This window comes from Homo sapiens, chromosome 4, assembly GCF_000001405.40.
Source record: "Homo sapiens chromosome 4, GRCh38.p14 Primary Assembly".
Taxonomy (NCBI): Eukaryota; Metazoa; Chordata; class Mammalia; order Primates; family Hominidae; genus Homo; species Homo sapiens.
In genome coordinates this window covers 28,388,535-28,415,795 of record NC_000004.12, presented here as the reverse complement: position 1 = coordinate 28,415,795, position 27,261 = coordinate 28,388,535, and the positions used below count along the sequence as shown (strand labels likewise).

The following is a 27,261-nucleotide window of genomic DNA, read 5'->3' as shown; positions in this document are numbered from 1 at the left end:
CCAAGGATTTTAGCAGTTGTGTGTGTGTTTATGTACACACAAATATACACATACACACACACATAATAAAACAAAAATAAATGCATGTATTTGTAAAATGTTATTTCAAAATTCAATATAATTCAGGAAAAAACATTTACTCTAGTTTGCCTTTGCACTAGATCTAGGAACAATGATTCTAATGAACTCTTAGATATGTGGAAAAAGACACTGGAATATTTTAGAAAGTGAGAGTTATAGATTCAGTTCTGCCCTTAACCTATTGTGTAATAATCAGAAACGTACTTGACTTTACTGAAGTGAATATTCCTTTTTCACTAAATGAGTGATTGGACTAGGTAACTGCCCATAAGCTTTCTATAATTTGTGTTTTCAAAAATATGAAGAGTATATTTAAAACCAATGAAACACCAGATGTTTTCAATATCTTAGGAACATGTCTTTCCATACAAATGAAGACATAAAAGATGGCTATACTAATAACAAGGCATTTTCTCCTATCAATTTAATAATATAAGCACAATTCTAGGCCTTTATTTAAATGAATAAAAACATATTAATAAATATATTTTATAATTCAGATGCACCTTGATCTAGGTTTATCAGAATTTTGTTTTTCAGCTCTTGGCTTTCCCCTTTCTTGGTTCCCCCCTTTTTAATATATTCCTTTGTCTATATTTTGTAAAGATAAGGTAGGAAATAAAAGTATACTGAATTGGGAATAAGAGGCCATCATAAGGCTAAATAGGGTGAGCTGTTGACATTTTATTCATCAGTTTGTCATTCATAGGATCAATATCACTTTGTGCTTGGAATTATACTAGAGAGAAACAGAATACAAAATCCACTGGATCCACTGGTAGGCCGGGCGCGGTGGCTCATGCCTGTAATCCCAGAACTTTGGTAGGCCCAAGTGGGTGGATCATCTTAGGTCAGGAGTTCAAGACCAGCCTAACCAACATGGTGAAACCCCGTCTCTACTAAAAATACAAAAAATTAGCCAGGCATGGTAGTCCATGCCTGTAATCCCAGCTACTTGGGAGGCTGAGGCAGGAGAATCGCTTGAACCCGGGAGGCAGAGATTGCAGTGAGCCAAGATTGTACCACTGCACTCCAGACTGGGCGACAGAGTGAGACTTCGATTAAAAAAAAAAAAAAATTCCACGAGTATTCTGAAACTCAGGGGAGAGGTATGAACTGCAGAGAGAGATTTGGCCATTGCCAGTAAAAAGTAGTAACTGATTTTAGGAATATGTATACTAATAAGAAGAAGAAAGAAGGGGGAGGAGAAAGAGGAAGGAGAAAAGGAGAAAGAAGAAAAGACCAACACAATCGTCACAAACCTCATTTGAGAAATAATAATCAATTTTTTAAAATTTGTTTCATTCTATTTTTCAAGAAGGGACAAAGATATAGTATAAGCAACCTACTTATGTTACTAAGCTTTGACATCTGTAAGACTGAGTATAATGTTAATATGCAAAAGATTCATTCAAGTTTCTCATTTTGAAAATTTAATCATCACCTAAGTTAATTTAGTAACTACTATACATTGTCACTAAAACTTTGTTCAGCATGTAGTAGGATTTTTAATAAATTATTTATAATGAATTCATTATTTAATATGTTATAACTGCACATTATGCACATCTTAATATTTATTATCAGAGACAACTTGATGCAAAGATGTTCTTTTTTCATGAACACATTTTTTTTTAAAAGCCATTTACAGATAATAAACCATTAGTCAGCCAACCAAAAGATACTCTGGGGAGCTTACAATGTGCAATTACAAGAGATAATTGAAAGCACTGACTAGGTAATAGAGTGTTGGAATACATTTTTGTGTATTGTTTTGTTTTTGTTTTATAATATTGCTTAAATTTCTGATATCAAAAGTCAATAATGTTAAGTTGTCTGGAAAAGCAAATCTAAACATGGCTTTCTTTGGGTAAGCAAATGATAGCCAGTATGAAAGTCTACCTTGGAGAGCCAAGCATAGCCTTCCAGGAATAGAACATTTGATCAGAGTCAAAAAATAACAAGATTTTTTTCAATAGAAAGTATTTTATTTAACGTTCTATGGTGTTTATCTTATTTACTTTTTAAAAAATATTTTGAATCTCAAGTACCTGAAAGTTAAGTTAGTCATATTTCTTTTTTGAAATTAAGTTAAAGCACTTTATTTTTAAAATTCTAATAAATATTTTAATTAACAAATAAAAATTTTATATATGGGGTACATGATATTTGTATACATTGTGAAATGTTCTTCAAGCTAATTAACATACATGTCATCTCATATAATTAAATTAACATTTTTTCTAGTGAAAACATTTAAAATCTCTCTGGAATTTGGAAGCATACAATACTTTATTATTATTTTTTAATTATACTTTAAGTTCTAGGGTACATGTGCACAAAGTGCAGGTTTGTTATGTATGTATATATGTGCCATGTTGGTGTGCTGCATCCATTAACTTGTCATTTACATTAAGCATATCTCCTAATGCTATCCCTCCCCACTCCCCCTACCCCATGACAGGCCCTGGTGTGTGATGTTCCCCTTCCTGTGTCCAAGTGTTCTCATTATTCAATTCCCACCTATGAGTGAGAACATGCAGTGTTAGGTTTTTTGTCCTTGAGATAGTTTGCTGAGAATGATGGTTTCCAGCTTCATCCATGTCCCTACAGAGGACATGAACTCATCCTTTTATATGGCTGCACAGTATTCCATGGTGTATATGTGTCACATTTTCTTAATCCAGTCTATCATTGATGGACATTTGGATTGGTTCCAAGTCTTTGCTATTGTGAATAGTGCCGCAATAAACATATGTGTGCATGTGTCTTTATAGCAGCATGAATTATAATCCTTTGGGTATATACCCAGTAATGGGATGGCTGGTTCAAATGGTATTTCTAATTCTAGATCCTTGAGGAATCGCCACACTGTCTTCCACAATGGTTGAACTACTTTACAGTCCCACCAACAGTGTAAAAGTGTTCCTATTTCTCCGCATCCTCTCCAGCACCTGTTGTTTCCTGACTTTTTAATGATCGCTATTCTAACTGGTGTGAGATGGTATCTCATTGTGGTTTTGATTTGCATTTCTCTGATGGCCAGTGATGAGGAGCATTTTTTCATGTGTCTGTTGGCTGCATAAATGTCTTCTCTTGAGAAGTGTCTGTTCATATCCTTTGCCCACTTTTTGATGGGGTTGTTTGTTTTTTTTCTTGTAAATTTGTTTGAGTTCTTTGTAGATTCTGGTTATTAGCCCTTTGTCAGATGAGTAGATTGCAAAAATTTTCTGCCATTCTGTAGGTTGCCGGTTCACTCTGATGGTAGTTTCTTTTGCTGTGCAGAAGCTCTTTAGTTTAATTAGATCCCATTTGTCCATTTTGGCTTTTATTGCCGTTGTTTTTGGTGTTTTAGACATGAAGTCCTTGCCCATGCCTGTGACCTGAATGTTATTGCCTAGGTTTTCTTCTAGGGTTTTTATAGTTTCAGGTCTAACATTTAAGTCTTTAATCCATCTTGAATTAATTTTTGTATAAGGTGTAAGGAAGGGATCCAGTTTCAGCTTTCTATGTATGGCTAGCCAGTTTTCCCAGAACCATTTATTAAATAGGGAATCCTTTCCCCATTTCTTGTTGTTGTCAGGTTTGTCAAAGATCAGATGGTTGTAGATGTGTGGTATTATTTCTGAGGGCTCTGTTCTGTTCCATTGGTCTATATCTCTGTTTTACTGCCAGTACCATGCTGTTTTGGTTACTACAGCCCTGTAGTATACTTTGAAGTCAGGTAGTGTGATGCCTCCAGCTTTGTTCTTTTGGCTTAGGATTTTCCTGGCAATGCGGGCCCTTTTTTGGTTCCATATGAACTTTAAAGTAGTTTTTTCAAATTCTGTGAAGAAAGTCGTTGGTAGCTTGATGGTGATGGCATTGAATCTATAAATTATCTTGGGCAGTATGGCCATTTTCACGATATTGATTCTTCCTATCCATGAGAATGTAATGTTTTTCCATTTGTTTGTCTCCTCTTTTATTTTGTTGAACAGTGATTTGTAGTTCTCTTTGAAGAGGTCCTTCACATCCCTTGTAAGTTGGATTCCTAGGTATTTTATTCTCATTGAAGCAATTGGGAGTTCACTCATGATTTGGCTCTCTGTTTGTCTGTTATTGGTGTATAAGAATGCTTGTGATTTTTGCACATTGATTTTGTATCCTGAGACTGCTGAAGTTGCTTATCAGCTTAAGGAGATTTTGAGCTGAAATGATGGGGTTTTCTAAATATACAATCATGTCATCTGCAAACAGGGATATTTTGACTTCCCCTTTTCCTAATTGAATACGCTTTATTTCTTTCTCCTGCCCGATTGCCCTGGCCAGAACTTCCAACACTATGCTGAATGGTGAGAGAGGGCATCCTTGTCTTGTGCCAGTTTTCAAAGGGAATGCTTCCAGTTTCTGCCCATTCAGTATGATATTGGCTGTGGGTTTGTCATAAATAGCTCTTATTATTTTGATATACATCCCATCAGTACCTAATTTATTGAGAGTTTTTAGCATGAAGGGCTGTTGAATTTTGTCGAAGGCCTTTTCTGCATCTATTGAGATAACCATGTAGGTTTTGTCTTTGGTTCTGTTTATATGCTGGGTTACGTTTATTGATTTGCATATGTTGAACCAGCCTTGCATCCCAGGGATGAAGCCCACTTGATCATGGTGGATAAGCTTTTTGATGTGCTGCTGGATTTGGTTTGCCAGTATTTTATTGAGGATTTTTGCATCAATGTTCATCAGGGATATTGGTCTAAAATTCTCTTTTTTTGTTGTGTCTTGCCAGGCTTTGGTATCAGGATGATGTTGGCCTCATAAAATGATTTATGGAGAATTCTTTCTTTTTCTATTGATTGAAATAGTTTCAGAAGGAGTGATACCAGCTCCTCCTTGTACCTCTGGTAGAATTCAGCTGTGACTCCATGGGGTCCTGGACTTTTTTTGGTTGGTAGGGTATTAATTATTGCCTCAATTTCAGAGCCTGTTATTGGTCTATTCAGGGATTCAACTTCTTCCTGGTTTAGTCCTGGGAGGGTGTATGTATCCAGGAATTTATCCATTTCTTCTAGATTTTCTAGTTTATTTGTGTAGAGGTGTTTATAGTATTCTCTGATGGTAGTTTGTATTTCTGTGGGATCGGTGGTGATATCCCCTTTATCATTGTGTCTATTTGATTCTTCTCTCTTTTCTTCTTTATTAATCTTGCTAGCATTCTATCAATTTTGTTGATCTTTTCAAAAAAACCAGCTCCTGGATTCATTGATTTTTTGAAGGTTTTTTTTGTGTTTCTATCTCCTTCAGTTCTGCTCTGATCTTAGTTATTTCTTGCCTTCTGCTAGCTTTCAAATGTGTTTGTTCTTGCTTCTCTAGTTCTTTTAATTGTGATGTTAGGGTGTCAATTTTAGATCTTTCCTGCTTTCTCTTGTGGGTATTTAGTGCTATAAATTTCACTCTACATACTGCTTTAAATGTGTCCCAGAGATTCTGGTATGTTGTGTCTTTGTTCTCATTGGTTTCAAAGAACATGTTCATTTCTGCCTTCATTTTGTTGTGTACCCAGTAGTCATTCAGGAGCAGGTTGTTTAGTTTCCATATAGTTGAGCGATTTGAGTGAGTTTGTCCATCCTCAGTTCTAGTTTGATTGCACTGTGGTCTGAGAGATAGTTTGTTATAATTTCTGTTCTTTTACATTTGCTGAGGAGTGCTTTACTTCCAACTATGTGGTCAATTTTGGAATAAGTGCGATGTGGTGCTGAGAAGAATGTATATTCTGTTGATTTGGGGTGGAGAGTTCTGTAGATTTCTATTAGGTCCACTTGGTGCGGAGCTGAGCTCAATTCCTGGATATCTGTTGCGGGAAGTCAGGGACCCCAAATGGAGGGACCAGCTGAAGCCATGGCAGAAGAACATAAATTGTGAAGATTTCATGGACATTTATTAGTTCCCCAAATTAATACTTTTATAATATCTTACACCTGTCTTTACTGCAGTCTCTGAACATAAATTGTGAAGATTTCATGGACACTTATCACTTCCCCAATCAATACCCTTGTGATTTCCTATGCCTGTCTTTACTTTAATCTCTTAAACCCATCATTTTTGTAAGCTGAGGAGGATGTATGTTGCCTCAGGACCCTGTGATGATTGTGTTAACTGCACAAATTGTTTGTAGAGCATGTGTGTTTGAACAATATGAAATCTAGGCACCTTGAAAAAAGAACAGGATAACAGCAATGTTCAGGGAACAAGAGAGATAACCTTAAACTCTGACTGCCTGTGAGCTGGGTGGAGCAGAGCCATAATTCTCTTCTTTCAAAAGCAAATGGGAGAAATATCACTGCATTCTTTTTCTCAGCAAGGAATGTCCCTGAGAAAGAGAATGTGCCCCTGAGGGTAGGCCTTTAAAATGGCCCTCTTGGGTGTGGCCGTCTTTTATGGTCAAGGTGTAGGGATGAAATAAACCCCAGTCTCCCATAGCGCTCCCAAGCTTATTAGGAAGAGGAAATTCCCACCTAATAAATTTTTGGTCAGACTGGTTGTCTGCTCTCAAACCCTGTCTCCTGATAAGATATTATCAATGACAATGGTGCCTGAAACTTCATTAGCAATTTTAATTTCGCCCCAGTCCTGTGGTCCTGTGATCTCTCCCTGCCTCCATTTGCCTTGTGATATTCTATTATTACCTTGTGAAGCACATGATCTCTGTAACCACACCCTATTCGTACACTCCCTCCCCTTTTGAAAATCACTAATAAAAACTTGCTGGTTTCACGGCTCAGAGGGCATCACAGAACCTACTGACATGTGATGTCTCCCCCGGATGCCTGGCTTTAAAATTTCTCTCTTTTGTACTCTGTCCCTTTATTTCTCAACCCAGCTGATGTTTAGGAAAATAGAAAAGAACCTATGTGACTATTGGGGAAAGGTTCCCCAATAGGTGTTCCTTTCCATGTTTAGTGCTTCTTTCAGGAGCTCTTTTAGGGCAGGCCTGGTGGTGACAAAATCTCTCAGCATTTGCTTGTATGTAAAGGATTTTATTTCTCCTTCACTTATGAAGCTTAGTTTGGCTGGATATGAAATTCTGGGTTGAAAATTCTTTTCTTTAAGAATGTTGAATATTGACCCCCACTCTCTTCTGGCTTGTAGAGTTTCTGCCGAGAGATCAGCTGTTAGTCTGATGGGCTTCCATTTGTGGGTAACCTGACCTTTCTCTCTGGCTGCCCTTAACATTTTTTCCTTCATTTCAACTTTGGTGAATCTGACAATTATGTGTCTTGGAGTTGCTCTTCCCAAGGAGTATCTTTGTGGCGTTCTCTGTATTTCCTGAATTTGAATGTTGGCCTGCCTTGCTAGATTGGGGAAATTCTCCTGGATAATATCCTGCAGAGTGTTTTCCAACTTGGTTCCATTCTCCCCGTCACTTTCAGGTACACCAATCTGACATAGATTTGGTCTTTTCACATAGTCCCATATTTCTTGGAGGCTTTGTTTATTTCTTTTTATTCTTTTTTCTCTTCTCACTTATTTTCATGTGTTTGATCTTCAATCACTGATACCCTGTCTTCCAGTTGATCGAATTGGCTACTGAAGCTTGTGCATTCATCACGTAGTTCTCGTGCCACGGTTTTCAGCTCCATCAGGTCATTTAAGGACTTCTCTACATTGGTTATTCTAGTTAGCCATTCGTCTAACCTTTTTTTCAGGTTTTTAGCTTCTTTTCGATGGGTTCAAACTTCCTCCTTTAGCTCGGAGAAGTCTGATCGTCTGAAGCCTTCTTCTCTCAACTTGTCAAAGTCATTCTCCATCCAGTTTTGTTCCATTGCTGGCAAGGAGTTGCATTCCTTTGGAGGGGGAGAGGAGCTCTGATTTTTACAATTTTCAGTTTTTCTGCTCTGTTTTTTTCCCCATCTTTGTGGTTTTATCTACCTTTGGTCTTTGATGATGGTGATGTACAGATGGGGTTTTGGTGTGGATGTCCTTTCTGTTTATTAGTTTTGCTTCTAACAGTCAGGACCATCAGCTGCAGGTCAGTGGGAGTTTGCAGGAGGTCCACTCTAGACCCTGTTTGCCTGGGTATCAGCAGCAGAGGCTGAAGAACAGCGAATATTGCTTAACAGCAAATGTTGCTGCCTGATCATTCCTTTGGAATCTTTGTGTCAGAGGGGTACCCGGCTGTGTTAGGTGTCAGTCTGCCCCTACTGGAGGGTGCCTCCCAGTTAGGCTACTCGGGGGTCAGGGACCCACTTGAGGGGGCAGTCTGTCTGTTCTCAGATCTCAAACTCCGTGCTGGGAGAACCACTACTCTCTTCAAAGCTGTCAGACAGGGACATTTAAGTTTGCAGAGGGTTCTGCTGCCTTCTGTTCGGCTGTGCCCTGCCCCCAGAGGTGGAGTCTACATAGGCAGGTAGGCCTCCTTGAGCTGTGATGGGCTCCACCCAGTTTGAGTTTCCTGGCCTCTTTGTTCACCTACTCAAGCCTCAGCAATGGTGGGCACCCCTCCCCCAGCCTTGCTGCCTCCTTGCAGATTGATCTCAGACTGCTGTGCTATCAATGAGCGAGGCTCCATCGGCATGGGACCCTCCGAGCCAGGTGTGGGATACAATATCCTGGTGTGCCGTTTGCTAAGACCGTTGGAAATCACAGTATTAGGGTGAGAGTCACCCAATTTTCCAAGTGCCATCTGTCACCGCTTCACTTGGCTAGGAAAGGGAATTCCCTGACCCCTTGTGCTTCCCAGGTGAGGTGATGCCTCGCCCTGCTTCAGCTCACGCTTGGTGGGCTGCACCCACTGTCCTGCCCCCACTGTCTGACAAGCCCCAGTGAGATGAACCCAGTACCTCAGTTGGAAATGCAGAAATCACCCATCTTCCGCGCCACTCACAATACTTTATTATTAAACACAGTCACCATGCTGTACAATAGATGTCCAGAACTTACTCCTTCTGTCTAACTGAAATGTGGTATCTTTTAGCCAACATTTTCCCATCTCCTCCTACTTTTCTAGCCCCTAATAACTACCATTCTACTGTCTGCTTCTATGAATTCAACTCTTTTAGATTCCACTTGTAAGTGAGATCATGTCGTATTTGTCTCTCTGTGTCTGGCTTAATTCACTTAGCATAATGTCTTTCAGGTTCATCTGGCTTATCACACATGGCAAGATTTCCTTCTTTTATGAGGCTGAATAGTATTCTATTGTGTATACGTAACACATTTACTTTATTCCCAGTTAATGAACACAGGTTGATTCCATATCTGGGTTATTGTGAATAATAATGTAATGAGCATGGGAGGGCAGATATAGCTTTGACATATTGATTTCATGTTCTTTGGATATACACCCAGTACTGGGATTGTGGGTGATATAGTAGTATTGCTTTTAATGTTTTGAGGAACTTTCATGATTTTTTTCTTAATGACTGTACTAATTTTAATTTCCACCAACAATGTACAAGAATTCCTTTTTCTCCACATTCTCATCAACACTTTTATCTTTTTGATAAAAGCCATTTTAACAGTTATAAAGTAATATCTCATCGTGTGTGTGTGTGTGTGTGTGTGTGTGTGTGTGTTTAAGAAGAGTCTGTCTCTGTGGCACAGACTGGAGTGCAGTGGCACAATTTTAGATCACTGCAGCCTTTGCCTCCCATATTCAGGTGATTCTCATGCCTTAGCCTCCAGAGTAGCTGAGATTACAGGCATGCGCCACCATGCCTGGCTAATTCTTGTATTTTTAGTAGAAACAGGGTTTCACCATGTTGGCCAGGCTGGTCTTGAACTCCTGACCTCAAGTGATCTGCCCACCTTGGCCTCCCAAAGTGCTGAGATTACAGGTGTGAGCCACCATGACCAGCTCATTGTGTTTTTAATTTGCATTTTCCTAATGGTTAGTAATGTTGAGAATTTTTTCATAAATCTGTTGGCCATTTTTATACCTTCTTTTGAAAAATGTCTATTCAAGTTCTTAGCCCATTTTTTAAATTGGGTTTTTTGTTTTCTTGGTGTTGAGTTGTTTGAGCTTTTAAAATATATTTTATATATTAACCCTTCATCAGATGTTCGTATAGAATCACAAAAGACCCAGAATAGTCAAAACAGTCTTGAAAGAAAACAACAAAGCTGGAAGCATCACCTTATCTGATCTCAAAATTTACTAAAATATGTAGTAATGAAATCATCACAGTACTGGCACAAAAACATACATATAGACCAATCAAAAAAAGACAGTGCAGAAATAAATCCACATATTTATGGTAAATTGATCTTCCACAGCAGTGCCAAGAACACTCAACAGGGAAAGGATTGTTTCTTCAATACATGGGGGTGAAAAATAAACTGAATGTGCACATGCAGAAGACTGATATTGGACCCTTATTTCAACTCTTATGAAAAAAATCAACTTAGAGTGGCTTAAACATGTAAGCGTAAGACCTGAAACTACACAACCACTAAAAGCAAACATAGAGAAAAAGCCTCTTGACATTGGTGGTGGCAAAGCTATTTTGGTTATGATCCCAAAAGCACAGCCAGCAAAAGAAAAAAGAGACAAATGGGATTGCATCAAACTGAAAAGTTTCTCACAAAAAAAATCACTACCAACAACGGCAACCACAAAATCAGTCAATAAAGTGAAAAGACAGGATTTGCAATGAAGAAAACATTTGCCATACATATGATAAGGTATTAATATTCAAGATAACAAGAATTTGCCAGGGAAAAAAGAGTGAGGAGGAAATGTCATAATGGAGTATCAATGCATACTGAAATGACCCTTTGCTCATTCATTTAACAGCTTTACTCTTGGCCCCTTTTATGTTCTGGGTAATTTTCAGATACATTGACACCCTTCATATTCAGAGAACTAAAGTAATTCAGTATTTCTGAGGCATGACACCTCTGCATATACTTAAAAAGAGTGAGATAACAGAGGTGGAAGAGAGATGAAGTAACGCAGGCAGGCCAGGGTCAAATTATGAAGGCTTACTCTACCACGTGAAGTCATTTAACTTAACTCTGTAGGGTCTGAGAGCCGCTGAAGAGTCTGGAGTAATCACACCATTTTTAAATTTTAGGAAAATCACATTACGGCAGGATGGCAGCAATTAAAGTGTGGTGATATTAGGCCGGGCATGGTGGCTCACGCCTGTAATCCCAGCACTTTGGGAGGCCGAGGCAGGCGGATCACGAGGTCAGGAGATCAAGACCATCCTGGCTAACATGGTGTAAACCCCGTCTCTACTAAAAAATAGAAAAAAAATAGCATTCCAGCCTGGGCAACAGAGCGAGACTCCATCTCAAAAAAAAAAAAGAAAAGAAAAAAAAAGTGTGGTGATATTGGAAGCAGGAATTTTAATAGAGCTATTTTATTACATTTAATATTTTGCTAGAAGTCTTGCTGCATATCAGTTCTTCATTTTCCTCCATTTGGCTTTGGTCTGCACCCACATTCATGGGTGAAGGAAGAGAGTCTCTTTAGAGAGAAGTTGAATACAGGGGGCCCTGGGGCCTCAAGAATTGCGCATCAGCTTCGCGATCCACTAACTGTGTGGATGTAAGAAAGTTACGTAACCTCTTTGAGCCTCAGTTTTAACATATGTAAAATGAAAAAAAAAAAAAAAGTAAATACTTACCAGGCCAGGTTAAGAATTGAATGCATTAATAATTCAAAGTTTAGACCGGGTTTCCAGATAAAATACAGAATGTCCACTTAGATTTGAATTTCAGATAAACAATAAATAAGTTTTTAGTGAAGGATGTCCTCCAAACAAAAAGAATATTGCCAAATATTGCATGGGACATACTTACATTTAAAAAGTAAATTGTTCATTATTTGTTTGAAATTCAAATTTAACTGACCATTTTTTATTTTTATTCACTAAGTCTGTTAAACATCCTTTCACCTAGTAAGCACTCTAGAGGCATTAATTCTTATTAGAACCAGCTTCTGTTACTAATTTGCATTTACATTCCAGGCACCTGTAGGTACTGGGGTTTGAAATCTCCTCTGGATTCTCTGAGATTTCTCCTTTTATTGAGCACATTACCCACATTCTCTGAAAATAGACATATTATTCTGATTCCTATGAACTTACGTGTATGCTATGACAGCTAAAATTGTGCTTTTAGATTTCATAAAATAATTTCACATAGGTACTTACAGGGAATTTCTCAAATTTTTCTGTACCGAAACTCTCAAGAACATTCAATACAGAGCTCAAAATCTTTTGTATAATTATGTACATAAGAAAATTAGCCCAGATCCTAGAGTCATATGCGAGTTTTTCCTTCTTGAACAATGAGATTTGTACTTTTTACTACCCATAGAACTATGCAACCATCTTCTGTTGCGCCTTTGTCTGTTTGTGAAGAAGCTAACGAAGTTTTCCCTCCTCTTAATCCTAGTATTCTCCTCCCTCCTGCTATAAATTGACAATTTCCTCTTAATTTTTTGTAATAATTTTTGCTTTTGTAGTATTTGAGATTACTATTGCAAAGGGTCTAAAATTACTTGGTGAAGGAAACAGAATTAAAATCTGTATAAAATTCTAAACTTATTCCTATTCTAAATATCTTCCCTCTATTTGCCTCTATTTAAATGATACAGAAGTAGGGGAGGGAAGCGCTAGGTAGAGGAGGGCATGGTCTTTGCCCGGGGCTCCACCCAAATGGACCTACCTGAGGTCAGGCATTTCCTGCCCAAATGTTGCATTCCCCCAGACCACTCTGGCCTGCCACGCCCCCATCCTGGGCCTATAAAAACCCGAGACCCTATTGGGCAGATGCGGAAGTGGCTGGACGTCATGAGGAACACATCAGCGGAAGAAGACAAAAGCAGCTGGTCTTGGAGAATCCGCCAGGGGAAGAGCACACTGGCAGGCACCGCAGGCCATCGATCGTCAGAAAGACACGGAGTTTGGCCAGAATTATCAGAGAAGAGTTTGGCCAGAGGGGTCAGAGAAGACTCCAGCGGAAAACCATCTCCCCTGTGACTCCAGAATCTTCTGAGAGCTACTTCTACTTAATAAAACCTTGCACTCATTCTCCAAGCCCACATGTGATCCGATTCATCCAGTACACCAAGGTAAGAAACCTCGGGATACAGAAATCCCTCTGTCCTTGTGAAAAGGAAGGGGGCGCTAATTGAGTTGGTTAATACAAGCTGCCTATACACGGCAACCTAAAAGAGCACCCTGTAACACAGGCCCACTGAGGCTTCAGCTGTGGTATTCACCCCTAGACACTGCTGTGGAGTCGCCGCACGACCTGCCCATCTGTATGCTCCCCTAGAGGTTTGAGCAGCAGGGTACTGAAGAAGTGAGCCACACCCCCATCGTACACCCTTTGACAGAGACAAGGGAACCTTTCCCGTTTCAGTAGTAAACATTGTTGGAATTATACACATTAGGTAAATTGGTTTATGAACTGGGGTGATATTCATTCTGTCTACCTACCTACCTATCTAATGTGTCTTTATCCTTTCAGTTTTATATATAGGGCTGGAAAGTGAGAATACAAAATACATTATCACTATTCTGCATGTACCATTTTTTACTATCTCTTGCACACATACTCCAGGTTCTAGTCACAAAGGATCTAATGAACCGATCAAAGCCAAAGTAATAACATTGTCTGCCTTCCCCACTTATGCACACGTTTTGTTTTGCAATAAAAGGCTGAGGAAAAGGGACACTGATTAATAAAAATTCTCAGATATACATGGTAAGTTTCAGGCATTGTGGCACCAATGTCTGACTTAGGCTTCAGACTGTGAGAGCTTACCTAATGCCTTTGAAATCAAAATACACTCCTGGTATTTCTCCAGTGTACTCACTGAGTCTGCAGACTTAGAAGAAAACTCTTCATACAAGTGCCAGAGAGAGACCAAGAGAAGCCCTTTTCTCTCCCTTGCCAGAAAGGATAATAAAACCTCAAGGATCATTATTCGTTTATTAAGTATTATGTGATAGAATGGCAACTAAATAGTGTCATTTAATTATAAATAACATTAATTGATTAATAATAGAGGATACACAGAGAAAAATGTTAGCACTAAGGAATACACAGTGATTTTAAAAAGAAATCACAAAACATTTCTTAAATTAAGTAAAATATATTCCTTCTCTTTTACAATGCAGCACTACAAAGCTTTAAACACCTTGGTTTACAACGCTATGAATATTAAAGAATTGCATAAAAACTTTCTTTTAAAGAAGTAATTTATTATTTAATGTTTATTTTCTTTTTATTATTGTTGCCAGGCAAGCAAATTTCTCATGGTCAAATAAGAATGTTTTCATATTTTAGTGCTACAACATTAGTTCATTTATTATTAATACAACTCATAAATACTCTAACCATCAAAAATAGCCTCAAACAACCTTATCTGGGCAGACTCAGACTTTCCGTCTTCCCCAGGGTTTTCCAGTTTCTGGACTATAATTAGTTGTCATCTATTCTGACGGAGAAGATTCTACGAACCATCCCCCATGTCTCAATAATGTTCTTGACAGATTTTATATCTTGAGGCAACCTAAACAGTTTACTAAGTGAGACCCACTAGAAGAAAAAGAAAAGATAAAATGGGAAAAACTCATTATTTTTAGCCAGAAGTTAATTAGATGTTTTGGAATTCTATTTTTCTGAAAGCATTCATATTTTGCCAAGTGTGGGACTCAGGTTATGCCACCTTTTAGAACCATTTTAGCCACTTGTTTTCACACTCTAACTGTAAGCCTGTGTCTTAAAAAAAACATTTTCATGTTAATTAAATGCCTCCTATTTAAAATTTCATGCTGTTAAATAATTCTTTTAGATTTAACACTCATATGTTCTGGAAAATAGCTCCGCTGTCATTTATTTCCTACAATTCGTTGAGACCATAAATGGCCATATAAAAATTTCAGTAGTTTCTACTTCTGATAAATACTACTACGCTCCGGCTACCGTTAACGTGAAGAAGCTGCTCTTTCTATGACTACCTCAAGGAATATATAAGCTCATCCTCCACAGTGCAAGCACTGGCAAATGGTTCCAGAAGACTAAAAATAATCACAGCATAATCAAGCCAGGGCTTCACTATCAAACTGCAGACAAGGGTGGAAATCAACTTTCTTGAAAAGGGAGATCTTGGCTATATCATGTATAGTTGTGTCTGAAACTTCTTGATTGTGCAAGGTATGCAAATGAAAGATTTTTACAAAATAACTGTGAGCATTTTGTAGGCATTGTGTGCCTGTACTTGAAATAAAGGAGTGAATAACACAAGGATCAGTTTTCAAGAAAATGTTTTGTGTTTAGAGATAGGTAGATGAGTAAAGGGACATTTATGGAACAGTGTCACGTGTACTGTGATGAGGATTCCAATACACAGAAGAGGGCCCGTTTATCCAATTTGGAGGGGAGATGGTAGTGACTATTTAACAAAGTCTTTCTAGAAGAAAGGACATGTAAACTATGTTCTAAAATTTATTAAATAAATAATAGCTCCTTAAGGTGCTATTTTTTTTTTTTTTTTGAGACGGAGTCTCGCTGTGTCTCCCAGGCTGGAGTGCAGTGGCACGATCTTGGCTCACTGCAGGCTCCGCCTCCCGGATTCACGGAATTCTCCTTCCTCAGCCTCCCGAGTAGCTGGGACTACGGGCGCCCACCGTCACGCCCGGCTAATTTTTGTTTGTATTTTTAGTAGAGACGGGGCTTCACTATGTTAGCCAGGATGGTCTCGATCTCCTGACCTCGTGATCCTCCCGCTTTGGCCTCTCAAAGTGCTGGGATTACAGGCGTGAGCCATTGATTGATCACTCTTGTCATAAAATGTTCTCTCTCGGAAATTATCTTTGCTCCTAGAAATTGTCTTATCTATAACTGCCTCAAATTGTGTTCTTCACTTTTCCTACTCTTCAGTTTAATTTTATTTTATGAGGCAATGAAGTGGAACGAAGTGGCATAGCAGGAAGTGGAGAAAAGCATGTTCTTGAAGCTCACAAGAGAAACAGTTGGTCTTTTGAGATGGTAAAACACTGGGGAAGAGCGTGAACAGGGCTGTTTCTATTAGTTGCTCAGTTCTAACACATCTTCTATGCGTGGCTTTGAGCAAATGACTTAATCTTTCTGTGCCCAAGTCCCTTTATATAAAATATTACCAATTTCACAAGGTTTCCATGAGTGTTGAGTAAAAAATTTAAAGCATACAAAATATTCAATGTTACCTGTGATGATGATGATGATTCTCATCATCATCATCATCATCTTCTTCTTCTTCATCATATTGTTTTATTAGCTTAAAAATTGGGGGTGCACATTAAATGTTGGTGTCTCCATAGGAACACTGTATACCAGGTCTAGCATATTCAATCAAGTGCAGCTAAATTCTCTTTTTAAATTGACAAGGTAGAATGTACTTATTTTCAAAAGCATAGCTTTGAGATAAATATAGCAAACCACATAGTTCTTGTTTTATTTAGCTAGATGTAAATAAAATATATCTAGGATTTCCATTTCTAAAGCCATAGCACAGTTACCATATGAGACCTATGCACCCTTTGTAAACAAGTATTAAAATACCCGCAATATATAAAGTAAATGTTTTCAAGCAGTAGACAGCAGAGAGTGTAAGACTATTTTATTTGAAAGAAGAGAAACACTTCGAGTGAGCTCTGCATTCACCCTGGCTTCTTGCATGGGAATTTTTTTTTTAGACCACAGCACAGAGATGAGGAACCCAGGAAGAAAGCTTGAGTGTCAATGAATGAAACAGGAAGACATAAGAATTCAGATCTTCTGAGTAGGGATAAGTTTATGAGGCAGGATAATAGAAAGGGGAGAGAAGTACAGAGAAGACCCTTAGGGCAGCATGTTATATCCTCTGTTTTTAAGGATGATGAGGACAAGGCTATGCATGCTCAAGGTGAGACTTTAAGGCCTGCCCAACTTCCGGGAGGCTAATGAATGAATGAAGACTTCAGAGGTTGCTCAATTCTGGGAAATATTTCAGTATAGCTGAGCTAATGGGGAGACGCTTCCTAAGTAGCAAGTAATCCTGCTATGGTACAGTTGACAGTCCAGAAAGGTCACTCTTCAAAAGTAGGAGTTACAGACTATAACTAGGCAAAAAATTAAAACAGATACATGCAGAAAAAGCCTAAAATAAAGGCACGTGGTGATTAATTATTCATTTAACTGTATGCCAGAACAAAACACAGTACTTCAAAGAAAGAAACACAATCCAAACATCTTACAGTATAGCAAACAATCATAAATACTAGACATGGGATAACCAGAAACAGATTTTTCACACTTGAGAAACAGAAGCATGTATTCTTCAGCCAAAAGAATAAAAGACAGAGTAGAAACAGACCCTAAAGTGATACAGATGTTGGAATGTGCATATAAAATATTTGAAAAAGATATATATATATTCAAGCATTTGAAAGAAAAGGTAGTCAAAAAGAGAAAAAATGGGGGATCTCAGAAAAAGTAAACTGTAAGAAAAGAGTCCTAATGAATTCCCATAAAATAAAATATTAAATATCTGAAGTGAAAAAACTCACAGGATCAACTGAAAGGAAAAATAAAAATATCCATTAACTTGAATTTAGGTTAATAGAAATTGTTCAAACTGAAGCAAAAGAGAAGGAAAGCTAGAATAAAAAATGAGCAGAGACTCAAATACTTGAGGGATCAAGTCAACTGACATACATACAATTGGATTTTACAAAGGAAAGAGGAGATAGAAAGAAAATTTTGAAGAAATATTTGTCTGCAAACTGCCTAAATATGCTGAAAAAGATGAACTCATGGTGTATCTTAAAAGCTTAGCAAGCCCAAAGAAGGTAACTATGTTAAAACAAAACAACAAATACACCAGGCACAGAGGTTCATGCCTGTAATCCCAGCACTTTGGGAGGCCAAGGAGGGAGAATTGCTTCAACCCAGGGATTCAAGATCAGCCTGGGCAACATAACATGACCACATTTCTACAAAAAATAAAAAAAAAGGCAGATATGGTGGTGCGCATCTGTAGTCCTAGTTACTTGGAAGGGTGATGGAGGAGAATTTCTTAAGCCCAGGAGGTTGAGGCTATAATAAGCCATGATTGCACCACTGCATTCTAGCCTGGGCAATAGAAAGAGGTCCTATCTCAAAAAAACAAAAAAAAACAAAAACAAACAAACAAACAAAAAAACACACAAACACAATGAAAAACACAGAAAAAAAAAACCTCATGTATGCATATCATAGTAAAACTTCTGAAAACCTAACAAAAACAAGATATCAATATCAAAAATTCCAGCAACCTTATTAGATGAAGGCATGATAAAACACAATAAGTTTAATATGTTTTTAAAAAGTTGTCAACTGGAATCCTATAGCTAGAGAAATTATCCCTTATAAATAGGACTAAATTTGAAATACAGAATTTTCAGACACAGTTTAAAGAAATAGTTCCCAACAGAAAAAAGCTGTAAGAAATGATTAAGGATGTTCTTCACATTGAAGGGAAATGTTACCGGATAGAAACTCAGGTATACATGAAGAAATGAACAGAACCAGAAACTAGAATGGGAAAATGTAAGTATAAATACATAATATTATTTTTGCTTCATTTTCTTAATATATTTAAACAAAAATTGACTATTTAAAATAAAATGCCAACATTTTAACATATCTATATATCACATATATAACAAGAAAGGCACAAAGGTTAGGAGAAGTTAATGAAATGATATTGTTTAATATTCTGTTGTTCTTATCATTTACATTTTATGTGAGGTAGTACAGTACTAAATCTAAGTAGTTTATTGGAAATAAGCAATATACTATAATCCCTAAAGCAAATTGGGAAAAATTATACCATCTGACATTAATAGATACTATAGTAATCAAGATAATGTAATTTTTACATAGGATTTTAAAAACTCATATTAATGGAACAGAATAGAATCCAAAAGTAGACTGGTATGTACATGGTAAATTTATTTTTAATAAAGTTTTCAGTGTAATATAATGGGAAAAAGATTATTGGAATAACCATATTAAACAAACAAATGAACAAAACAATTTTGGTCCATCCCACAACATATTAAAACAGTACTTTGCAATAGATCATAGGTTGAAATGTAAAAGCAAACATTATAAAGGATCAAGATAAAGATGACTGCTTTCACAGCCTTGGGGCACACAAAGCATTTTTAGATAGGACACAAAAAGAACAGTTCATATAAAACCAATCCCAAGATCCATAAAAATGCTAGGACCTTGTGTCCAGAGCTTCCTATCAGTGAAGCAGTACCCATATCTGCACTGATCCATTCCCAGCTTACCTGCCTATTGTTCCATGGGGGAAAATGGAACAGGTTTTATTCTCTTGCTTGTACTATCAGAGTAAGTGATTAAAGGCTTGATTGTTACTTTCAATATATTTTGCTGAATTTATTGGCTACCGTCAACATCTGACAGCTCAACTCTCTCTCCAGCTCAACTGATCTGACACACAAAAAGGAAAAAAAAATAGCAATCATAAGTAGCCATCTAGATCATGGAGACTATTTTTAAGTTAATTGTTAAGATTGTTATCAATATGAAAACTTGAAATTAAAAGATTATCATAGACAAATCATTTATTTCCCAAACCCAACTTGGTAAACATTGATTAGGTAGTTAGATGTTCAATTTTGGGGGTAATGAGAGAGGGTCAATAATAGTTTAATATGTGTTAAAGGCCTTGATTTGATGGCAAAACTTTTTTTGATGTATAAAATAAACAAAAAAGTGTAAAAGTAAGTGGTTAGCCTGAAGAAACACTACAAAATGAGCACACATGTGTAACTAGTGATAAGGTTCGAATATAGAACAATGTCATCACCCAAGAACTCCTATGCCTTTTCCCATCTTCTAAGTACCATTCTCTTCTTTCTGAAGTTAAGAAATGTCAAGACATGTGACATTATAAATACGGTTTTATTGTTTTTTCACTTTATGTAAATAAAACCATAAGATATGTGTTCTTTTTCTTTCTTTGACTCTTAACATTGTTTACACTCTTCTGCATTAGACTCCTCCAGAATATTTATGCTACTGTTCCCTCTTCATATGTTATTCCAGATATTTTTTCATATCTATGTTATGATTTTTGAAAGATAAAATAATTAAAAATAAAACTTAATGGATCTGATTAACAGCAGATCGAACATAGCTAAAGAAAAAATTTGTGACTAGAAAGAACAAAAATTTGGTTCTGAAATTTCCATTTCATTTATGTTCAAACTCTTGTTTTCTTCAGTATATTTTGCAATTCTTTGACATATTAATCAGTTTAAAGTCTATGTCTATAACTCTATTATCCGGATTTCTTGCGAGCCTGTATCTATTATTTTGTTTTTGCCACTTGATTAATTGTTAAGGCTTGTCTTGTTATATACTTGGTTATTATGATTTAAATGGCATACATTGCAAATAAAAATATAACTATAATTTAAGGGTTGTATGAATCCATATTCCCCAAGAGATAATTTCTTTTGGCTTCTGATAGGCTGATAGGCTAGGGAAATGAGCAATTCCATTTAATTTTGATCTAACCAGGAAATAACATTATGCAAGGATGAACTTCAGTCCTTCTAAGGACAAGTCAAATTCCACTTCCCCTGTACTCCTAGCATATATCCCTTAGGAATCCTGACTGAATGACTGGGATATTTCTAGACTCTTCCTTCTTGAAGCATTGAACTTCAGTTTGTACCATTCTTCTCTTTGGCTTCATGAGTCGACCAAAAGCTCTTAGCAGTTTCTCAGCCTATCAAACACCATATTGGTCTGTTCTTGCATTACTATAAAGAAATACCTGAGACTAGGTAGTTCTGGAAGAAAAGAGGTTTAATTGGCTCACGGTTCTGCAGGCTGTACAGGAAGCATGGTGCAGTCACCTGCTTGGCTTCTGGGGAGGCCTCAGGAAGCTTTTACTCATGGCAGAATGTGAAGTAGGAGCAAGCATCTCACATGGCACAGCTTGAGCAAAAGGTTCCAAAGGTTCCGGGGGAGGGTACCACACACTTTTAAACAACCAGATCTTGGCGAAAACTCACTCACTGTCACAAGGACAGCACCAAGCCATGAGGGATCCTCACCCATGAACCACGTATCTCCCACCAGACCCTACCTCCAACATTGAGGATTGCAATTCAACATAAGATTTGAGCGGGGACACAGATCCAAACTATAGGAGATACCATTTTAAAAGTCAGCAACTACCTCAAGGGAAAAACATAAACCTAATGATAAGAAAGCTAGATTAAATTTCCAAAGTGTAACAATATAATACCTGAGATTAAAAATTTACTACAGAGACTAAACTATAGACACAACAGAATAAAAGACCCAACAAAAAATATCCTTCAAAAATGTGTTTCTGTGTCTTTGATCATATTTCTCTTTTTTCAGTGTCCAGGGACATCTAGATGATAGAAGTTCCTTCAGATGGGTCCCTGGTGTGAGGGTGTCCTGTATCAGACTGCCTATTGAAGTTCAACCTGTGGTTCAAGACAGGTATGATCCTTTGATGTTGAAGTCACTGAGATTGGGAGTTAGTTTGCTTTTGTGTTTGTTTTTGCTTTTTACTGCAGCTTGTTCTATACTATCAGAACTAATTAAAACATTTTAACTTTGGAAAATCTTTAAATATAATTTTCCTTATAGTTTGTCACATTAAATGGGAAAATAGATGGTTTATATAAATATATGTGGAAAATATATGATAGCTTTCATCACACATTCATATTTTTAAAATCTTAGTAAAGCAGGACGAGGAGAAAGTTATTTAATATTTTGAAAGGTCCTAATAATACTTCTAATAAACATTTTAAATAAAATTTGTATTTTAGAACAGTTTTAGATTTAAAAAAAAATTATGAAGATAGTATGGAGAGTATGCCCCAGTTTCCCATATTACTAATATATTACCTCAGTGTGGTACATTTGTACAAATAATGAACCAATATTTACCTGTTGTTATGAACCAAAGTCCATTCTTTTTTTGTTTGTTTGTTTGTTTGTTTTTTTGAGACGGAGTCTGGCTCTGTCACTCCAGGCTGGAGTGCAGCTCACTGCAAGCTCTGCCTCCTGAGTTCACGCCATTCTCCTGCCTCAGCCTCCCAAGTAGCTGGGACTACAGGCGTCTGCCACCACGCCCGGCTAATTTTTTTTTTTGTATTTTTAGTAGAGACGGGGTTTCACTGTGTTCGCCAGGATGGTCTCAATCTCCTGACCTCGTGATCCACCCGCCTCAGCTTCCCAAAGTACTGGGATTACAGGCTTGAGCCACCGTGCCCAGCCCCCTAAAGTCCATTCTTAACTCAGATTTCCTTGTTACCTCGTGCCCTTTTCTGTTCCAGGATCTCATTCAGAATACTACTTTCATTCAGGCTGGAGTGCAGTGGCATGATCTTAGCTCTCTGCAACTTCCGCCTCCTGGGCTCAAGCGATTCTCCTGTCTCAGGCTCCGGAGTAGCTGGGACTACAGGCATGCGCCACAACACCAGGTAATTTTTGTATTTTTAGTAGAGACGGGGTTTTACCATGTTGGCCAGACTGGTCTCGAACTCCGGACCTCAAGTGATCCACCTGCCTCGGCCTCCCAAAGTGCTGGGATTATAGGCATGAGCCACCATGCCAGGCCGATCTTGACAGTTTTAGTGAGTATTGGTCAGACATTTTGTGGAGTATCTCTGTATTGGAATCTAGTTCATGTTTTTTTCATAATAGATAGGATTTTATATTCTTGGGAGAAAAAACATTGATATATACTGTCCCATTTTCATCACCTCAGAGCACAAGCCAAGGCTAATAACATCTTCATCTTAGAAGTGTTTCTTTCACTTGCCTTCTGTATATCACACTTGCTGATTTTTTTTGTATGACTCTAGTAATACTTTATCAGTTTTGTTAAATCCAATTTTCACCAATTTCATAATTTTAGAGCATCTTATGGATCATTTTTTAAGCTTTTATCTACACTTCTTCAGTGATTTCTTCTGGTTTCACAATTTCAATTGCCATCTGCATACTGATGACAAGTAAATTTATATCTCTGATTCAGATTTGTCCACTAAACTTGATAACACTATATATAACTGCATACTTGATATCTTTACTTGGAACATCTCAAAGTTGAAATGCTCAAAATAGAACTGCTTATTATTCTAGTAGAACCTGTTTCACCCACACACAGTCTTCCTTATCATTGTACTTGATCATTCTAGCCCATCCGGGGAAAAAACACACACAATCAATAAAAAAAACTTGATTTATCCTTGAAATATTTTATTTGAATCCCACGTCTGAAACATCAGCAAAAATGGTTTTAATTACTCAATTTTTTCCAAAACATAGATAGAACCTGAAAATTTCCCACTATCACACACACTCCCACTATTCTCCAAGGCACCATTAGCTCTCACCCAGGTAAGAGTGATAGCCTCCTTTCTCAGCCAGGTTACAGTGACAGCCTCCTGCTGTCATTATTGCCTTCCATAGTCTCACTGAAACACAGCAGCCAAAGTGATTCTTTGAACGTGTCAATGAGATCGAGTCACTGCTCTGCTAAATACTCTCCAGTGGCTCCTCATCTGATTCAGAGGAAAGCCAGTGGTTTTCAATGGCCTAATATTTTCTGCACATTCCAAGTTCCAGTCAAAACTCTGAGCTCATCCACCACACTGTCACGACACACTACTTCCAGTTACTCAAATACGCCAGTGTGCTCATGTCTCAGGGTATTACTACTGTTCCCTCTTTTTGAAACACTGTGCCCAAGTGTCATTGTCTCAATTCCTATCCTGGTTTCTTAAACTTAAGAGGAAAAAAATAAGGAAACTCCCTTATGTCCTCCTCTGACTAGTGATCATATTTTAGTTTCCCCGGCCTGTCTCTTCTGCTAATATTCCATTTTCTGAACTTACTTATGTTTACCCTCTTTATCTTCCTATTAATAGATAATGAGTTTATGAGATCATGAGTCTCTCAGTTCTTACAGCTACTATAATACACTATATAGTTTTTGATACACTGTGGGGACTTTATAAAGGTTTTGTGAATTAACTAGTTAATGAAAGACAAAAAAAATAAATAGCCTGGACCCCTGCAAGCTTTGACAGCAGCAAGAAATCAGCATCGTCTTCAGATTTTAAGTATTTTAGTGTCAACTATTTAAATCAGCTAAATAATACAGTAATAGAATCTATTTTGTTTCTAGTTAGAGTCATGACTGAAAGCACTGCTATTCCCTAAAGGGGAAATTCCCTCATTTGCAGAAATAACAAAAGACTAAAAAATATAATTATGTAAGAATCCTAAAGTAATAAAATACATGGATAGAAGAATCAATTTGTAGGCAACTTTTTTTTTTAAATATACACTAGTAAACCAATATGACCTTCAAAAGGTTAACAAAGAAAATAAGTAAGCACTGAACTTCATTTGATGAGTAACATGGCTGGCCTCTAAAAAGTCACCTTTATTATGAGAACAGCAACTGAAAATACCTCAGCAAAGAAATCTCGGGATTCTTCCACCAAAGATAGTGGAAACAACCTATTTGGGCCGGGGTTTGGACATGACTAGTTCAAAGTCAGTGAACTGTGGGTAGCATGCAGAAAATAGAGACCTTTTTTTGAGAGAAGGTTATAAAAGTTATTCCGAAGAGAGATGTACCTGTCATTGATTTCTTATACTCTAGTACAACAGAAATGAAAGAGTACAGTTTCTCTGTGGAGATGAAAAACAGGAGCTTTCAAGCTGGCCCTTTTACCATTTCTAAAATCCTTCATGAGTAACTGTAATTATTATTGTATTTCTCTTGTTAAAGGGTATTCCGTGAAAGAAACTATTAAAAATTATGAGAATCAGTGCTACTGTTATCTATCATTTTTCCATCTTGTGGACAGTAAGATCTTAATCTTAGAAGACAAGATCTAGAAGTCATTTTACTTGAACTTTAAAATAAACAAACCTATTTATCTATTTTGCCCAATTCTAATGGTGACATTGTATCACACCGTTTGTTAGAGATAAATGAATCTCAATTATCCTGTGAAACTTAAAGACATACATAAAATTAAACAGCAACACCAATTCTGATTGCAGTTTATTTAAATAATTTTATTATTTACAAATGCATTCACTTACCTACCCACATAGATATTTATTTTTGTAAATTGCCATCAAGAACAAGATATGCTGAGTATCCATTTCAACACACAGGACGATTTTATATATCCTTCATGGTTTATTGTAAAAAAAAAGTACTGGTTAAAAAAAAAGTGGGGGAGTTAATTGTCTCTATTTCTTACAGGTATTAAAGGTAAAATGCATACCCCTTGACTCAGTGTGCTTTGATTTTAAGTCTTGATTATGGGTGGATAGTCAATATAATAAATCCTGTTGGCAATTTCATATCTGTTTTCCACATCATTGCACACAGATAACACAAAGCAGAATGTACTACCAATAACCGCGAGCCAGTTCTTCAAAAGTTGACATCTCTCAGAATAAAATTTTATAAATGTTGAAAGTGGAAATATATACAAATAAAATTAGGCCCTTTTATTTGTTACAGGCATACTTTAAATAAAGTTGAACATATTTTCATCAAATTGGGAAGATATATTTTGGATATGTAGTTTTTGTAGTGCAAACAAAATTCTTTGGGTACACACTCAAAGGGTAACACCTCCCACCAAGAAAAACAGAAACCTCTTACCATTAAGAAACCTCTGTGAATGCAAATCAGGAGAGATGAACCATTTGTTATATGTACCATGGAGAGGGGTTTCAAATAACACTTTATAATTTAAGAGTTATAAAAGTGCCTGTTCTAAAAAACAAGTGCTGTTTTATGATTGAGCTACTTCTCACATGGGCGAGTCTGTATAGCAAGCCCTCATGTACTAGATTCAGGGAGTTAGATAATTATGCTTCATGATTCACAAGAAAAATAGAGTCTATCTAAAATGAGGTTTTAAAAAGATGAAAGTTTAGTTTGTGTGCATGATTTAAATGTAAAACAATTTTTTTAACTTCTAGAAAATAGATAACCCCTAAAGATCCTATTGTCCCAGTATATTTTCAGGGCCCAATATTTTAGGTGAGTTCTAATTTTACCTATATTAATACATTTATCTCTATAGGACTATAGTGTTTTGAGATACACACACACATTATGTATCCATTTTAAATAGTCATTGAAAAAGGCTATGTTAACATGTAATTTCTTTACATCATCTGGTTAATTAAGGTGTAATTCCATCGTGGCATGTACTCTTTCTCTAAGTTGCATGGTGCTGATAAATTACTTGCTGACTAACAAGTAATTCACGGCAATACAAATATCATATCTTTATACTGTTTACATGAAATGTCTCTGGCCTTTCTTCCCTCAACATTTCAACAGGCTATATATATATATATATATATTTTTTTTTTTTTTTTTTTTTTTTTTGAGACGGAATCTCACACTGTCACCTGGGCTGGAGTGCAATGGCATAATCTCGGTTAACTGCAACCTCCACCTCCCAGGTTCAAGCGATTCTCCTGCCTCAGCCTCCCAAGTAGCTGGGATTACAGGCGTGCACCACCACACCCGGCTAATATTTTGTATTTTTAGTAGAGATGGGGTTTCACTGTGTTGACCAGACTTATCTGGAACTCCTGACTTCGTGATCCACCCGCCTCGGCTCCCCAAAGTGCTGGGATTACAGGCGTGAGCCACTGCGCCCGGCCTCAACAGGCTATGTTTTAAATGGAGTAATCCAACGATAAGAGGGGAGAAAAAAAAGTTCAGTTTAGATTCCAGATGTAAGAATCAATGTTTAGATCCACTTCTTCAAAGTGCTACTTAAGTCAAATAAGAAGCAAATATATCTTCGAGGTCAAAAATAAAAGAAAAAATATATGTTGTATGAATTGAAGGAGATTCTGATGAAATTCAAGCATTTCATTCCTGGTGTATTAGTTTACTAGGAGTGATGAAACAAAACCTCACTAACTGGGTTGTTTAAACAACAGAAATTTATTTCCTCACATTTCCTTAGGCTAGAAGACAGAGATGACAATGTTGGTAGGGTTGGTTTCTTCTGAAGCCTTTCTTTGTGGTTTGTAGATGGCAATCTTCTCTCTGGGCCTTCAGAGGACCTTCCTTCTGTATCTGTTATC

General features: G+C 37.1%; 2 long non-coding RNA genes across 3 annotated transcripts in view; one reads left to right on the top strand and one right to left on the bottom strand.

Moving 5' to 3' along the window:
- The window catches only part of LOC105374557 (uncharacterized), a 485,690-nt gene that overhangs the window by 187,404 nt on the left and 271,025 nt on the right, over positions 1-27,261 (bottom strand). The gene's annotated exons all lie outside the window — the stretch shown is intronic.
- LOC105374556 (uncharacterized) lies at positions 12,845-24,383 on the top strand. The gene is made up of 3 exons (NR_188386.1): positions 12,845-13,144; positions 21,496-21,600; positions 22,446-24,383. It is a non-coding gene; the product is annotated as an uncharacterized LOC105374556 (long non-coding RNA).